Raw genomic sequence first — 17642 nt, forward strand, 5'->3', positions numbered from 1 at the left:
ATTCCACTCCATTCCCCTTGGCTCTCTCTTCCCTCAGCCGTCAAATGATCTCTTGCTTGGATTAGGTTTCTGCCTGGACACTATGCCTCTACGATCAACTCTGCAATTAATTTTTCTCATGATTGCAATTCCTCTAGCATATATATACATTCAATGAGATCGCTTCATTGCTCCAAATATTCGAATGCCACCTCATGGCACATGGTGCTTCTGGCACTGGATTCAGACCTGCCTGCCTCAGCACGGGCTGTGTCTCATCCACCACACATCACAAGCCTGTGAGTTCAGGGGCAGTTTAGTAGCATGTTTCCCGTATTCAGTCCTAGCAAATGAATTCCTGAGAACTAAATGAATCGTGCAAGGTGCTGAGGGGTCCCTTATTGATGCCCTGTCCCTAAGGAGACTAGACTTGACTCAGAGTAAAGAATGGGCCTGTGCCAGGTCTGTGCTTCCATCTTGCTCGCATGTTATCTTCTGAGGGGGTATTGTTACCTTCATTTTTTTTATTGGTGAAAAAACAGAAATGCCGAGAAGTTAGATAGTATTATACTTTTGTGCAGTCCATAGAGCTGGAAAAGGGAGAGCCAGGATTTATACCCCCAGGCAGGACCTGGAATGCTTGTGAAACGCAGGCCCCACTCAGTGGCCCACTCCACAGCTACCCTCCTTCCTTCTCAACACAGCCCCAATTTCCCCCTGAAGCGGGCCTCTTCCCAGCACAGCCCCCAGGCATCAATCTTGCTTGACGTTAGGCAGTTGTGGTGGGGCCCAGCTACCTGTCCAGTGAACAGCTTAGGAATAATTGCATACCACAACTCTGGCCAAAGTGGCTAGAGGAGGGGGTTCCTGGGCCTTCTGCAAAAGGGTTCTTTCCTCTCAAAAGAAGACAAGACTCAGGGGCTTTTCTATTTTTACTGTTGGACACTGCTAAGCTGGAGCCAGGAGGCCGGTCTGTGGGCAGACACACTGTTACATGAAATAATTCCAATACATTCTCACATCAGGGATTTAGAGGGAAAGTGAGAGACCATCAAAGATGGCCATTTTAGGTCAATTTACAGAAAAGCAGAAGAGCATGTGAGAGCTCAGCACTGAGATGGATGGAATGATTTCCCCATCATCTATCCCCCAGAGGCAGGGGCTTTTCCTAGTTGGCAGTCAAACCCCAGTGGCCTGCTGGAAGCCATTGGTACCAGGCCATTGGTATTACTTGAGTAGAACTGGGATTTATGTTTTCATGATGATCCTAATTGGGTCACAGGTAAGCTTTGCTGTGATGTTTGTGTTTGAGTCCACAAAAAAATTTTACAGTAATTTAAACCTGTATTTATGTTTGATACGAGCTCATTTTGTTACCTTAACAAAACAAGGGTGTGCTGGGATTTTGTTTTCTTTAAGCAGTTTAATGACTCCAGGAAGTAAACGTGTGTAGTTATGGTCTAGCTAAAGTCACTGATGTCATATTTTAACCTGGATTTTGGGTTAAATAATGGATAACGTACCTAATTAGGCTACCAGTAAACAATCACTGCAGGATTTCACCTAAAATGCCAGTGACCAGAAGTAGATGGTGTCCTCTTTCTCTGAAAACTGGGGATCAATGTGAGGTTACAGTTGAAACTATGGGTTATCAATGTCCACAGAATATACTGGCCCTAGGTAAGTAGAAAAAGTCCTTGAATTTGCTTAACCAAACTTTACATATGCTCATGTGACTACCTGTTTTATACATGGATTCCTTTTCATCTTTGAAGGAAGACAGGAAACAGGGATACTAAAATTCACATTCAGAAAATATTTCCATGTAGAGACGTCCATCTCCCCTCGGTTCTCTCCCTACTGCCTAAACATGCTTTGTTAGCAGGCCAAGTCAGACGTGGTCCACGGCAGGGTGAATTAGGCCCTTCTGTCTCATCGCTCCTTCCTTTTTAATATTCCCGAGGAAGTAACAGTATGGTACTTATTAAGCCAAATTTTCCTGGAAGCTCCAGGTCTCATTGATAGCCACGCTGATGAGAGATTACTGTCCGACTTTCCTTTTGTAAATTAGTGGGCAACTGGTTCTCTCCACATGGAGCGGGAAAACAATCTCTGTCTTCTTTCAGTTCCAGAACACACCAAGCTCGTTAGCACTCCCCAGGCCACCTGCCCTCCCCCACTCTCCCTTCACGTCACCTTACTCATCACCAGGTCCCAGATGAAAGAGCTCTTGCTCACAGAAGACATCCGTGACTGGTGTCCCGGCCACCCTCCCAGCCCGCCCTTTTGAACAGCACGTCTTACAGCTGGTTGTGTTTTACTCACCCGCATGCTCGTTTGTTGAACATTGGCTCCCAGACCGTTTGAGGCACTGAGGAGAGGATGACGCAGACTTGGTCCCCACCCTCAGCAGTGGGTACCGAGTCTCCATCATCCACTACCCAGTGCCTCAATATTCACTGAAACGTAAAAGCAGGAAGGAGAAGCAAAGACCTTTATGAGCCTCAAGGCTATGTGACACCCACAGATCAGCAGGGTATGCAGGACTTCCCGTGCTGTGTGGGGAGAGTTAGAATTCTGAATCGTAATCCTGAGCTGGGCTGAGGGGGCAGAGTTAGAACTCTGTATCGTAATCCTGAGCTGGGCTGGGTATACGCCTTGAACAAGTCATGGTGCCTTCTAAATAGTCTCAAGTGCAAAACATGGATGAGAAAATGAGAAAAGTTATAGAAAGTATTTTTTAATGAAAGAATTCATATTAGGTGACAGGTAATGACCTTTACACACACACACCTCTCTCTCTCTCTCTCTCTCTGCTTATAGTGACTGAGAAATCAGCTCTCCCATAACTTTACCAACAATAATTCTTGAAGATGAGAGCCTCTTGTCTGAAATCATTTTCCATTTATAGTTATATGAAAGATATAATGGAATAACTGCTAATTAAATCTATAAATATACATATAAAAATTACCTTGTCATTTGTAGCGCGCTTCCAAGTATAAAATTAAACGTGGTTCTGAATTTTTCCCCTAGAACTCTAAGTTTTCATTTCTTAATCGTCTAGAATAGCTCCTTTAATAAAATTTCATTTTTGACATGATGCTTGCTTGATATTTTAAAACTGTACTTTAAACCTGAAATTTCACATTAATTATTATATTTTTAGGATTGGAAAATGACACCATCTTTCAGATAAATGATTGGATGAGTAATATTTAGCCAATTTCGCTTTCTGTTGCAGGTACAGTTCTGAGTGTTCATTAATATTCAATGAAATTTCCATCAGTATGTATGATATTTTCAGGTTTTCAAAAATAAGTGAAATAGGCACTAATGTGGTGATAACACTAAAATGAGGGCCTGAAAGAAGCCCCGACACGTGGGAAAAGCCTGCTAACAAAGACGCACTGCAACAGAAAGACCTCACAGGAGAGGCCCTTCAACCCAGGATCGGTATTTTATGGCATCAGCTCATTAATTCCTCCAGGTCCCCAGGACACAGATATCAAGGATGGTGTCAGGCTCATTATCTCAGACACTGAAACTGAGGCTAGGGAGATTTTCAGTGGTTAACCAAGGTCAGATAGCATGTCGTAAAGCTGGGATTCAAACCTCTTTACATGTCTGCTTTCAAAGTCGTAGCTCAAACCACTGATCCTTATTGCTTCTCCAGAGAGATATTCTCCAAAATACTCTAGAATTAGGGGAAGCATTAATCTGAAAATCTTGGTATGTCTTCTGGGGGTGGGGGTGGGAAGAGGAACCCTGAAGTCCCTGACTACTGTGGAGATGAGGATATCAGAGGGCTTCTTATAAAGTTCTCATTGGAATAATAAAACTATGAGGTAATAGAAAATCTGGACCAAATTATATATACATTATTTAGATACGTAAACATCAGATACACAATTCCACTTAAAAGCATGCCTGTCCACACATGGACACACATATGCACAACAGGCAGGTGCAAGCCATTCCCAGAACATGTCGTCTTACTAGTTCATCATGGTACTACGTTTGTTACACCTCTGAATGATTTCCTACGAGCAAAACATCCATCACTTTAAAATAATGTTAAGACACTCTAGGATAAATGTAACAAAGGGCAAACGTCAAATGTTAAATCTTTATGCACAGAAGCAGATGAACACAGCAGCATGCCTCTGGCATCCCCAAGTCCTCGCTGACATTCAGACAGCCACCCTTGTTTCAGGCTACAGTAAAGCAGGGTATTAAGAGGCAGTAATGCACCGCAGCCCATCTGTCCCATAAAAGCTCAATACGTAAGCTTTGTAGAAGGCAGGTGATCAGTAACAGTGGTGAACCAGGTGTACATTATTTTAATCAACTACATTCTGGACCTTTATTCTCAAAGTTTCTAATGGCAAACGAATAAACAGAGAAACCAACCATATCTGCCCTCCTTGCAATTTTTTCTTCTTTTGGATTCTGATTTTCCCCTATTGTTGCACCTCCTTTCCTTCTCTGTTTAACCAAGGCTGGGGACCTTAGGCCATCAGACCTGGGTTCAAGTCCCAGCTTGGCCATGTATTAGTTCTGTGACCATGGATACCCTGGTTTCAGGTACTTTCTATGCAAATGGGATATAATAATGACACCTCATAGGGAGGTGAGGTCTGAGGTATGCAAAATCCTGAGCACAGTGCCTAGTACACAGTAGGCCCTCACTAATTGTTAGCTATTAACATAATTATTCTTTCTTTGTGGTCTCTCCTTTGGCCACCTTGAAAAGCATCTGAGATAGCAAATGTGCACATGTTCTGTGAGCAGCAGAGTGTCATGCATTTACTAATTCTCAATCGAGCCTCCAGCTCTCCCCTGCAAGCGTGTAACCGCTGCATGCTCAGGCTCTGACTACTATCTTGAGTTGTAGAACTACAGCTGAACCAATCTCTTGCAGCTTAGAGTCACTAAAATCAGAGTCCTCAATGTGTTTCTAAGGTTGGCTCCTGTTCCTGAGTTTGAGTTTGCTATTTCTGATGACACAGCCTTTATGAGAATGGTATAGCATTCTCTTCCATGTCTTCTTTTCTCCCTTCCTGACTTTTAATCTTCAATTCAAGCCCCTATCAGCTTATTTAATCAGTGTCTACACTAGTACTCTCATGGCATGGCTAGAAGTGACCTTTACTTATTTAACCTCTTACTCCAAATCTTCAGGGGCTCCAAAATGCCTTTTGTTTGTTTTGAATTTTTTTTTTTTTTTTTTGCAACGGAGTCTTGCTCTGTCACTAGGCTGGATTGCAGTGGCACGATCTTGGCTCACTGCAACCTCCGCCTCCTGGGTTCAAGGGATCCTCCTGCCTCAGCCTCCTGAGTAGCTGGGACTACAGATGCGTGCCACCATGCCCAGCTAATTTTTTGTATTTTTAGTAGAGACGGGTTTTCACCATGTTGGCCAGGATGGTCTCTATCTGTTGACCTCGTGATCTGCCTGCCTCAGCCTCCCACAGTGCTGGGATTACAGGCATGAGCCACCGCACCCGGCCTCCAAAATGCCTTTTAAATAATTTCTGAAGTCTCTGCCTGGCCCATCTCCCTTTCACTGGGTTTGCCCCGACTCCTTCACAGTTGTTGCCTCCAGGAAATCCTCTCCCCAGTCACACGTGCCAATTCCACCCACTTCTCGGTCCTTGAGCAAACGGCTCCTCTACCAGAAAATGCTTATCCTGCCCTCGGTGGCATATGCTATCTCCTGTATCAATTCGCCAAGCATTTTATCAGGAGGCAGCATGTTCTAATGGAGAAGGGATGGGCTTTCAAAGCAGAAAGGCTTGTTCTGAAATCCTGGCTCAATTTACTAGCTGCATGACTAGGGGCAGATTATTTATTCTCTGAATGTTTGATTCCTTATCTATAAAGTGGGATAATAAAATCCACCTCACCGGATTACTGTCATAATTAAATTAAAAGTCCATAAATTATCAAATAGAGTCTTTAGGGCACAGAGGGAGGCTTAACAAATAGAAGATAAGTTTTTCCTTGTTCTTTTCTACCAGTATTTTTCCCATTTTGCTTTCTGGGAGAATCCTGTGTGCCCCCATTTTGTCTCCCTGGCTGGATGACAGGCTCCAGGAAAGCAGGATCTTTGTGGGATTCACTGCTGCAATTGCTCACAGCATCTAGCAAGCTCCCAGACATGGGTGATTCACGCATATTTGATGAATGAATAAAAGAATGATACCATATTCTTGTCAATATGTATCACTGGAACCACTAAGTATGGGAACTGGAAAGGACCTTAGAGAAAAATCACTGACCCAACTTCATTCTATAGATGAGGAGCAACATGACGCTGAGAAGCTAAGCAGCTTGCCCATGGTTAGCACGCCAGTGAGAGCGGCAGACTCAGCTCTGTGTTTCTCCTGCCCTGCCAAGCTGCTTCCCTGATCAGCTGCAGGCAAGTATGTGATGCCAAAAGCATTTCCTAGGAAAGCGGCAACTAAGCGACAACTATGTCACTCGGGGAAACACCCACAAACAATGAATGACACACATGTACTACCTCCAGTGCCGGCATGACGTACTAGATTAAATAGGGGGCGAGAGCTGGCTTTTAATAATCTGCCATCCTTCTAATATTTTTTTAAAAACTATACCCCATCGTATCTTCTTTGGTGAAAATGTCCAGTCAGAAGGCATGGCTGGTGGAGGCAAACGGAGAAGTGAGGCAGCCCCAGCTGCGTGTCTGTCTCCGGCCTGGCTGTTCCCCTCTGTTGTACACGCTTCCTCCCTCAGCCCCATTACAAAGGTCTGCTTTACTCAGTGCCTGAGCTGATGCCTAGCTACTCTCATAATCAGCTAAGCTAATGTGCTCATGGAACTGTTTCCAGGGGATGGGACTGCGTGTTTCTGGGGAAAGCCTTCCTCTTGGGCCTCCTCTGTTGTTGGCTGGTAGGAATTCCAGGCTAGGTCACGGGGCAAATGGAAACACGCAGCAGACGGCAACTCTTTACCCACTGCCCTGTGCTGACAAACTTGCTGCCAGATGAGAAAGGCATAAGGGTGGCTTATTTAATGACAGGATTTAGAATTTTATTTATGTGACAACTAGTACTATATCCTTAGTAGCATACTTAAGGCCGCTGGGCTTGCAGGTTCCTTAAATGAAGGCAGTACGTACCTAATTCTGCCTCTGTGTCCCAGGACTGTCACAATACACTAGGCTGTTGGTTTTGTTTCTGTTGAACCATTGGTAATCTTATTATTATTTTTTTTGTGTGAGAGAGGGTCTCGTTCTGTCGTTCAGGCTGGAGTGCAGTCGTGTGATCTCAGCTCTGCCTCGCCTCCTGGGTTCCAGCAATTCTCCTGCCTCAGCCTCCTGAGTAGCTGGGATTACAGGTGTGCACCAACACGCCTGGCTAATTTTTATATTTTAGGAGAGATGGTGTTTTGCCATGGTGGCCAGGTTGCTGTCAAACTCCTGACCTCAAGTGACCCGCCCACCTCAGCCTCCAAAAGTGCTGGGATTACAAGTGTGAACCACCACACCTGGCGCCCTTGCTAATCTTAAACAAAACTAAGACACCAGGTCATAACACAGCAAGTCTCTTGTGCCTGCCCAGCTGGGCAGAGAGAAGCTGGACATCTGGAAACTAACTTGATGAAGTGCTGCTGTTCGGTGTGACCGGGGGCAACTCACAGAACCTTCCAGAGCCTCAGTTTCCTCTTTTGTGAAAGAGGCAATCACCAGTACCTCCTGACGAGTAAAGCCATGTGAAATACACACGGACACTCTTGGAAAACCTGTGGTTTTCAACAGTGATGCTCAACAAAATCACCTCTGTAAGTCTTCAAAAATACATCCTGATGTGTAGTCAGAACTGGCAACCACTGTTGTACGGTGCTCGACACATAAAGTAATCACTGATATATTGAGGGCTGTTCATGAACACTCAAATGAAATGACCATATATGCTGTGAATACAGACAGATACAATGAAAGACTCTAATAATTTTAAAACAGCAAACAGAGAGCCCGTCCCTTAGAAGTTGAACATCCCAGATAAAAATGCTAAATTGCAGCAATAAACCCTGAAACGCCCTAAACAGGGATATATGGAATGCTCTGATTGTAAATTGCTGGCTCTTCCCTACATCTAGTAAAGAAAATTACCTGCTAAATGTTATCATAAAAGCTACGGAAACATTTTTTTACCTAAGTTATAGAGTCAACCAAGAAAAAAACCCTATAAATTAGATATTCTAAATCTTTAAGCCACTAATTTTAATCAATATCAGTCTGGAGGTTTTAAATGACTTTCTCCTGAAACTCCCCACCCCATCAAGTAATTATCAGAAACATTGATTTCATTCCATATATTCAATCTTACAAGTTCATAAAATATTAGCCTATTAAGTTAACATAAAAATGTAATGCAGTAGAATGAAACAGTAGAAGGAACTCCATATAACACCTGCAAACTGTGTCTATAGGAGTCTGATTTTTAATATTTCACTGACCACCCCTATTCCCCCATCTCCAGCTCCCAAGCCCCAGGGTGGGTGAGAAAGGAGGTTGCAAAGGGCATCACGTGCTGGACAGAGAGTGGCATGCAGTATCTACGATCACACAGGACACAGATGGAAACATCAGAAGACAACCCAACACCTCATACAGATTAAAAAGAAAGGCGGATTCGGCCGGGCGCGGTGGCTCAAGCCTGTAATCCCAGGACTTTGGGAGGCCAAGGTGGGCAGATCATGAGGTCAGGAGATCGAGACCATCCTGACGAACACTGTGAAACCCTGTCTGTACTAAAAACACACAAAAGAATTAGCCGGGCGTGGTGTCACGCGCCTGTAGTCCCAGCTACTCGGGAGGCTGAGGCAGGAGAATGGCGTGAACCCGGGAGGCGGAGCTTGCAGTGAGCCGGGATCGCGCCACTGCACTCCAGCCTGGGCGACAGAGCGAGACTCCGTCTCAAAAAATAAATGAATAAATAAAAATAAAAAAGAAAGGCGGATTCACAAAGGTGCAGTAACTTCACCCAAATTACACAGTGTCAGAGGGGGGCATCAGGGTTCAGGTCTCCTCACCCCAGGCCTGGGACTTTTAATAAACAATGCCGTTCTAACAGGATGGTGGATGGGATGCATAGACGGAGCAAGAGTGACACAGAAGCACTGCTTCTTTTCTGTACAGAATTACTGAGTCCCCTACCCTGCCTACTGTGAGACGGATCTTTTATTATTATTATTTTTTTGAGATAGAGTCTTGCTCTGTTGCCCAGGTTGGAGTGCAGTGGTGTGATCTTGGCTCACTGCAAACTCTGTCTCCCGGGTTCAAGCAATTCTACTGCTTCAGCCTCCTGAGTAGCTGGGATTACAGGCATGCGCCACCGCCTGGATAATTTTTGCATTTTTAGTAGAGACGGGGGTTTCACCATGTTGGCCAGGCTGGTCTTGAACTCCTGGCCTCAAGTGATCTGCCTGCCTTGGCCTCCCATTGTGGTGGGATTACAGGTGTGAGCCTCTGAGCCCGGCTGAGATGGATTACTAATAAATACTACTACAGAAACAGGACAGTTTTCAGAGTCCGTCTTTACTAGGCTACTAGGCAATTCCTCAGCCACTGAGATCATATACACAGAAGGAAATTACTGATGCTGGTACTTTCCATCATTTTTCAGTAACTGGGTTTCACTGGCTGTGGGTGTTGGAAAGGCTGGGTAGTCATGCCAACATTTATATATCTTTTAAGGATGATACGTTGCTGAACCAGGATGTCAGGGAACCAGCCTACCAGAAAACCAGGATTCTCACACTGGTCCTGCCATTATTCTGTTGTAAAGTGTTGGGCCTGTTTTTCTTGGCAGCAAAACGTATGGATAGCCTCTCCCAGCTACTTTGAAGGCTCACATGTTAATGTACGGAGGAGCACTTAGGAAAGTTTAAGGCATTAAGCAAAGCAAAGGAAAAAGCAAAGGTCTCTGGTATGTTACACCTCTCGGAATTGTGTATGTTCCAAAGTATTATACATGTTCCCTGTGAAATACACATTAGTTGTCTCCTATGGCTAAGGACAACAGGCAGAGAGAAACATCTTGAGATATGTTTGGAGGCAGGCTGGACAAACCCAATGTTCTCATTTCACACACAGTTCTCCAGAGGAAACACACAGATTTATAATCTGTTATTCAACAGTCATTTTTTCAATAGGATGGTATCATCTGTCTTCTGGAGTGTTTGCCAAAATAGGAGGCAAAGAGCTAGAATGAATAACCCTTATCAAATCCAGGATGATGAAACGAAGTTAGCTCTGAAGAGGAAGACTGTGTTCCAAAGATACAGCCTAAGCTCAACATGCAAGGCAGCCGTTCATGAAGCTGAGGCTCACAGCCCCTTTTTCTGCAGAGTGGCCAAGAGGCGGCTCCTTCCAGCAAGGCACTGTGCTTCAGGTGGAGAGCCCCTGGGTCCTAGGAGAGGTGCTGGGACCACAGGTGCCTGCTAATGGTCCAGGTCTTTGGAGTGGCTGGGGCAGGAACCCATGGTATGTATGTGTGCAAGAGTGTGCCTGTGCATTTGCTATACTGAACTCATCACAGCATTCCAGAACACAGTGGCAGCCAATCCACTGGTAGCAGAAAGAATAAGGTGGGGGCAGAAGCCAGGATAGAGGGGCAAAGAAATAAAAAGCAAAGCAATGGTGCACGTGTGGAATGGCCGGGGCTGCCCGTGCATCTTGAAGGACTTCGAGTCTGGATGGGTGACCTGCGGAGGCTCCTTGCTGAGCTGCCTCATGCTCTAGATGTCATTAGAATAATGCCCTGTCTCAGATTTGTTTTATGCAACCGAATCCAGATCTCCTATAATCTGTTTTGTGCTAAACCCAGAAACAGAAACAGAAACACCCAGCTCTTCTTCAGGGAGGGGTGGTGACGGGGAAAGATGGATAGGAGAGTACGGGTGAGAATCTGTACTGCAAGGCAATCCTGACTTCCCAGGCGCAGCTCTGCAGCTGCTCATGAACCTGCAAAGCTTTCAAATCACAACAGACATGATGGGAATGTCACAAGATCCCCCCTGAAGCTCTCGCTTTAGCCCAATTCCACCTTTTTAAGAGAAAAATAAACACACACCCCTCTGGCCTTTTGAGTTTTTCCTGGTAAGTAAGAATAAAGCAATGCTAAGCCCACTTTCCAGAATTTCCCCCTTCGAGTCAGATAAACAGCACTGAGCTACAAGGTCAGTGAGTTAGTGAACCTAGCAAAAGAAAGAAGAAAGCATTCTTCTGTTCTCTTACAATCATATGAATATTTGCTCCTTTATAAGAGTTACTAAGCGAAAGCACTCAACGCAAAAAAGTATTTTCCCTAGATCATCAGGAATAACCTAGTGTGGCGAAAGTTACCATTTAATGCCTACATTTTATGACACATAATTTCACTTAAAAACAAACATGTAAATAAATAAGGACTTAGGTATCTGTGACGGACTATGATGCAGTACTCTGATAATTGGTAGGTTATTGCCAGGTTCGGATTGTCGTTTATTTGTGAAGTAAGATCCACAGCAATTATTTCTCATACAATTAGATATTCACAACCAGTGAACATTATGAAATGTTCTTTGCATGAGCCCTGCAAACAGGAAGTACCTAAACAGTATCTAAAACTAAAAAAAAAAAAAAGAAGACTGAAATCTTACATTTTCAACAGTATGCCTTAATGACAGAAGGAATCATGTAGGTTACTTTAAAACAGAAACAACAGAGAATTCCCAGAGGTGGCATTTGGGAGTGAGATTTGATTTTCATTTTACCTGGCTTAATAATGAAAACACGAAAGATGGCTCCCAGTTTCTCCGAGATCAACATATTAGTCCATTTAAAGAAATGCCACAAGAGGCTGTTCCTACTTTTCTTTAGAAGACAGATTTCGTTTGTTCTTGCTTAAAATTGAATATATCTCTCAATTTTAACAGTGCCTGAGCCAGAGTAGGGTAACATGAATTGGATTTTCATCAAGCCTGTAGGCGCAGACTGCAGTGAGAATACCCCAGCCGGCCAGCAGCCGCCTCTGCACTGTCGGCAGGCCCTGCTGCCATCCAGGAGGTCTAATGAAAAGAGGATGCAGGACTTGACAGGGGGGCTGGCCCGAAACGCCAAGGCAACAACAACACAAGCCACACACTCTGTTTGCTATGGGGACAGGATCAGAGAGAAGGAAGAAAAGAACAAAAGAAAAAAAGGAAGAAAAATAGCTCCCACCACCCAAATGTATAATGTATATGTCTGTGCGTGTGTGTACATTTATGCATGCATGTGAATGCATGCATGTATGTTCACAGTATGCATGCATATACACTTATGTGTCTTCATATATGTACATATATCTCTATACCGATATAAGAGTAATTAAGCAGTGTTTCAAAGTATTTCAAGAAGCATAAACAAACAGGAACAGAAAAACCTTGGGCAAGTATTCTTGGCAATAAAAATTTACACTGAATGCACTGTCACAAACCACGATTAATGATAACATTCTTTTCCAAAGCCCTTGCCACACACAGAGTGAGATAAATTGGCTATGGCAGGTTTATTTCTCTGGTCTGCAGGTTTATTTCTCTGGTCTCCACGTTTTTTTTTTTTTTTTTTTTAAAGACAGGGTCTTGCTTTGTCACACAGGCTGGAGTGCAGTGGTGCAATAATAGCTTTCTGCAGCCTCAAACTCTTGGGCTTAAGCGATTCTCCCACTTCAGCCTCCCAAGTAGCTGGGACTACAGGCATGCACCACCATGCCCGACTAATGTTTTACTTTTTTGTAGAGGGTCCCACTATGTTGCCCAGGCTGGTCTCAAACTCCTGGCCTCAAGCAATCCTTCCACCTTGGCCTCCCAAAGTGTTGGGATTAGAGGTGTGAGCCACCATGCCTGGTCAAGTCTGCAGGTCTTGAGGTCATGTCTGTCAAGCAGAAATCTAGAGTGGCAGCCATTGCCTTTGCCAGGCTGGAAGAGGGTCAAATCTGGAAGAAACAAAGATTTCCAGGGGCAACATGCCTAGCAGTTTGAGAGGGAGTATTTTAAAGGTTCATAATTGGACTGAAATGTGGGTGAGAAGGCAACCTTGGCCTCCTCATCATGCAGGCAGGTTCTGAAGGTGGACCTCGGCTGGGCCACATGGGGGAGGTGGGATCATGGAAATTCTAATGCCACTGTATGCTAAAGCCATGGATTTCGGGGAAAGGCATGACCAGATCTGTGTCTGGGAGAAAGCTGGGCTGGAGGGGGCCAGACTGACAGCAGCGATCGTACTCTTCCAAAGGAACTGTATACTAGGCAGGTAGGATGGTCCCCATGGGGTCCTGGCAGGGGGGTGGGCCCCAGACACGTATGTGGGTGTCATCCCCACTCAGGAGAAGATGAAGATGAGTAGAGGACAGGGCCAGATTATGCAATGCTGGGACAAAGGGACAAGCCTAGAAGGGGCTATGGAGGGGACTGAGTCATAGTGAGAGGGAAGCCAGGAGAGAGGGGTGTTTCAAAAACCAGTGCAGCAGGATTTTCCAGAGAAACTGGTCAATGCATTATCAGAAGCTGAGAGTGATCATGCAGAAGAAGGGATGGAAAGGACTTATTTTAATTTATTCATTGTATTTACAACAAAGAGGCCACTGGTGACCCTGCTGAGAGTAGCTTTTGAACAAAAGTATTTTTAGTGGTCCTTTACCGCCTACATGGCTACTATCCAAGCCCATCTCAACCTCTCTCCAGAGAAAACCTGTCCTCTAGCCTCCCACTGGGCGAGCACACCTTAGGTCTTGGGTCTTTCAATCTTGACATTCTGTTCAAGACCTTTCCTTACAATTCATACCTATCTTTTACAATCTACCTCGAATCACATTCTGGGAAGTTTTATGGGACTTCCTCAGTTCACAGTTCTTGATACTTCCTTTAACCTCAAAAAGCATATGAACATTGACTTTGGCTTCTATCAAACACAGCTCTGCCCTCTTGACACATGTGCACTGGCTTGGAATCTGCTTTATTTTCTCACATCCTCATCTTCCCTTGTCTATGCCTTTCTCATTTGAAGCCATCACTTTTTCCTGGGATGTTTTTCTTCCATTTTAGTTTTTTGCTTCCTGAAATCCCTTCTCTTTTTAAAACTTCAGCTTACGGCTGATCTTCTCAATGCAGAAGCAGTTCGAGGACCACCCATCCGGAAGTGAGGTCTTACTTCTCTGGATTCCATTAGCTTGGTGACTGCTATTTGTGTAACTCATAACAGTAAATGGCCCTTTTCTTCAGCTGTGTCTATTTGTGTGTGTACCATTCCCTTCTTCCCAGTGGATGCTAAGCTCCTGGAGTAGTAGCAAACTGGTAGAATTTCAGAGTTTGGTAAACCTGGGTTCAACTCCCTTGGATTGGTTACTAGCCTCTCGGACCCTCCACATGCTCAGCTGAGAAGTGGAGAGCAGAAGGCTGATGCATCATGCATCAGGCATGGGTCTCAACCCAAGAGATATGGTTTGGCTGTTTCCCCACCCAAATCTCATCTTGAATTCCCACGTGTGGTGGGAGGGACCTGGTGGGAGGTAATTGAATCATGGGGGCGGGTCTTTTCCGTGCTGTTCTTGTGGTAGTGACTAAGTCTCACAAAATCTGATATTTTTATAATATCAGATTTAAAGGATATTAAAGGACTGAGCACCACCAAGGCTGTTTTTTAAAGGAGTTCCCCTGCACATGCTCTCTTGCCTGCTGCCATGTGAGATGTGCCTTTGTTCCCTCCTTTGCCTTCTGCCATGATTATGAGACCCCCCCCCCAGCAATGTGGAACTGTGAGTGCATTAAACCTCTTTTTCTTAGAAGTTACTCAGTCTTGGGCATGTCTTTATTATGAAAATGAACTAATACACCAGGTAGGGTGGAAAGGCACCTGCTCAGTGCACGGTTCTGCAGGCCTTCACTGACCACGAGATGCTCTCCTTCCCTATGCCTCTAAGTCAACTGGCCATTTATAGACATGGAAAAGCTCCAAATATGTGATGGGGAGCAAACGATTTAGACCAGAAAAATGGCATTCCATTTTCTGTACCCTATGTTAATAATATAGAAAGTCAGTCACAGTCTAACTGCTCTGGACTTCAGCTTTCCTTTTCCCACTAGACAAATTAAGAATATGGTCTTGTTCCAAACTATGGAAAATGCTGAGACCCTACATTGATAATACTACTACATATGTGGAATATCTAAAACTAGAAGAAGAAATTGCTAAGTTACAGAATTATGAAAATATTCCACCTTATATTAATGATATATAAATTTAGATTTTTAAAATTAAATAACAATATTCTGAACTAGTGAATGAAAAACTATGTTAAGAATTAGAACCAGGTTGGAGGTTGTAGATGAAAATTTTATTTACTGTTTGCTCTTTGGCTGGCAGAAAAGATAGGTAAAGAAACAGAAAAATATAAGAAATGCAAAAACCTATTAGCTAAATGATAAATTAGTAGGATCTATCTTTAAAAGTTTTTCTATTGCATTGTCTTCAAATTGTTCTATATAACCTGTTTTCTTGAACATATGACAACCTTAAATAGTTTATTAGATGAGTACAGCCTTACTGGTTAGCATTTGGAATAACTTATGAAATCAAAGCAGTATAGTACAAAATATTAAAATATACCTATTATTTTTTTGTTACTGAAGAGGAGAGTAAGATTTTAACTGCTGAAGAAAGCAGTTGCAAAGGGCTGTATGAAATATGTAAATATCTCAGAGATGTATTTTCATGACAGTATATCTGTATTCACAATAGCATTTAAGAAATAAAAATTAAAACAGCTCCTACCACTACATTTCTCATTGGAGGAGGCTGTTGGAGCCCTGTGCTTTCACAGTATTGACATACTTGCGTTACGCTCATGAACTCCTGATCAGTGTAGTAGGGCTGAGGAGAAGGAAAGACGAAGGGACACATGAACGATCTAGGCCTTTCTTGTTTGCAAGAGCTCTCTCTGCTGAGATAACACTGGGTGCCCATTATCTTCAGCGAGGTTCTCAAGGGGTGATTAGGAAGGGAGGGAAGTCTATCTCTTTAGGAAATCTGTGAGCATCTTCATGAAAAGACACTCTTACCACTTTCTGTTACTCATTCCCAGGATTTACAACAACCCCCAGAAAAAAAGTGTAAAAAGAACTCCTCCCCAACCCAGCCACAACACAAGTCATGTAGCCTAACAGGGTTGCTCAGGAGGGTGAGCATGGCATTTCAGCTTTAACTATGAGAGGACTGAGCACCACCAAGGCTGTCAACCCTGCCTGCACTGCAGAATCACCTGGCTACACTCTTGGCCTCAGGCACTGCTAGTTTCTAAAGCTCGCTAGATGATTTCAATCAGTATGTATCAGAGCAGAATGTTTTAACTTGGTCTTTGTGTCAATTTTACACCCATTTCATTTACCTTATTTTTAAAAATCCCACTAAGTCTCCAGGCAGAGCACACAAGAGGCCTCCTTACTTCATCATTGCTCCTCATATGTCCCTTCAGTGTTTCCCGAAGGATGACACTACTGACCCTCGACAGTGAGCCTGATGTGGCCCTGGGTCAGGGATGTGATGTCTACAGCTCAGAGATGGAGCGACAGAGAGCGAGCGAGAGAGAGAGAGAGAGAGAGAGAAAGAGAAAGACAGGAGGCAGGTGGCAGGGGAGATCTGTTTGCTCACATTTCATGGTAATGGAAAAACTTTTTCCAAAGGGTTATAAGTATCTGTGAAGCCATCTGGTGTTTCCTGCTGTTGCATCCTTTAGATTCTGTATGTTTATATGTCTATGGCACCAAAACATCATGAGCCTAAACAGTAATATTTAAAGGATGTTGTACTTTAATGCAATCATACACAATGCCAATGCTTTATAAACATACTCTTTAAGAACGTCATTAGTATAGAGTATTTGAATAGTTGAATTACATACATATTCTCTCATTAGACGAAAGGGAAACTGATAACAATAAAAGATGGAATCCTTGTATGTTAATTGGCTATCTGGATATGGCCTTTTGTAAAGTGAACATTCAAGTCTTTACCTATTTTTAAAAGTTGGTTTTCAGCCTTAAAAAAATCGATTTGTAGGATTCTTTATATATTGTGGATATAAATTTTTCATATGTTTTCTTCCTTTTCATTCTACTTTTTCATTCTCTCAATAATAGTTACTCTGATACCATAATTTTAATATGGTCCAATGTATTAATTTTTTCCTTTTATGGTTCACTCTTTTGTGTCCTGTTTAAGAAGTCTTTGCCTGCTCCAAGTTTACAAAGGTGTTTTTTGTTTCCTCCAACACTTCATTGTTTCACCATTCCCATTTAAATCTACAATCCATTTCATGTATGGTATGAGGAAGGGGTCAAGACATCTTTCCCTTCAAATAGCAATCCCATTGGCTAAATCCATTTATTGACAAGGCCGTGCCATGCCCACTGCACTGCACGCCACCTTTGACATAATCAGGTGACTGTATAAAAGTGGGTTTCTTTCTGCAGGCTGTTCTGTTTCACCGATCAGTTTGCCTAGCCTCGCACCAACGCCACACTCCCTTCATTACCAGAGCTTTAGAACAGGCTTGGCATCTGGTGGCAGAAGCATTCCAACTTTTTTTTTTTTTTTTTAAGAATTCCTTGGCTGT

General features: G+C 43.5%; 1 protein-coding gene, 1 long non-coding RNA gene and 1 other non-coding gene across 11 annotated transcripts in view; 1 reads left to right on the forward strand and 2 right to left on the reverse strand.

The window, feature by feature from the left end:
• LYRM4-AS1 (LYRM4 antisense RNA 1) overlaps positions 1-17642 on the forward strand; it is a 236681-nt gene that overhangs the window by 142075 nt on the left and 76964 nt on the right. The window lies entirely within an intron of this gene.
• The window catches only part of LYRM4 (LYR motif containing 4), a 229198-nt gene that overhangs the window by 114138 nt on the left and 97418 nt on the right, over positions 1-17642 (reverse strand). The gene's annotated exons all lie outside the window — the stretch shown is intronic.
• On the reverse strand, positions 2343-2432 carry MIR3691 (microRNA 3691). Its single transcript, NR_037462.1, has one exon. It is a non-coding gene; the product is annotated as a microRNA 3691 (primary transcript).

The sequence above is a fragment of the Homo sapiens genome, chromosome 6 (genome assembly GCF_000001405.40).
Source record: "Homo sapiens chromosome 6, GRCh38.p14 Primary Assembly".
NCBI lineage: Eukaryota > Metazoa > Chordata > Mammalia > Primates > Hominidae > Homo > Homo sapiens.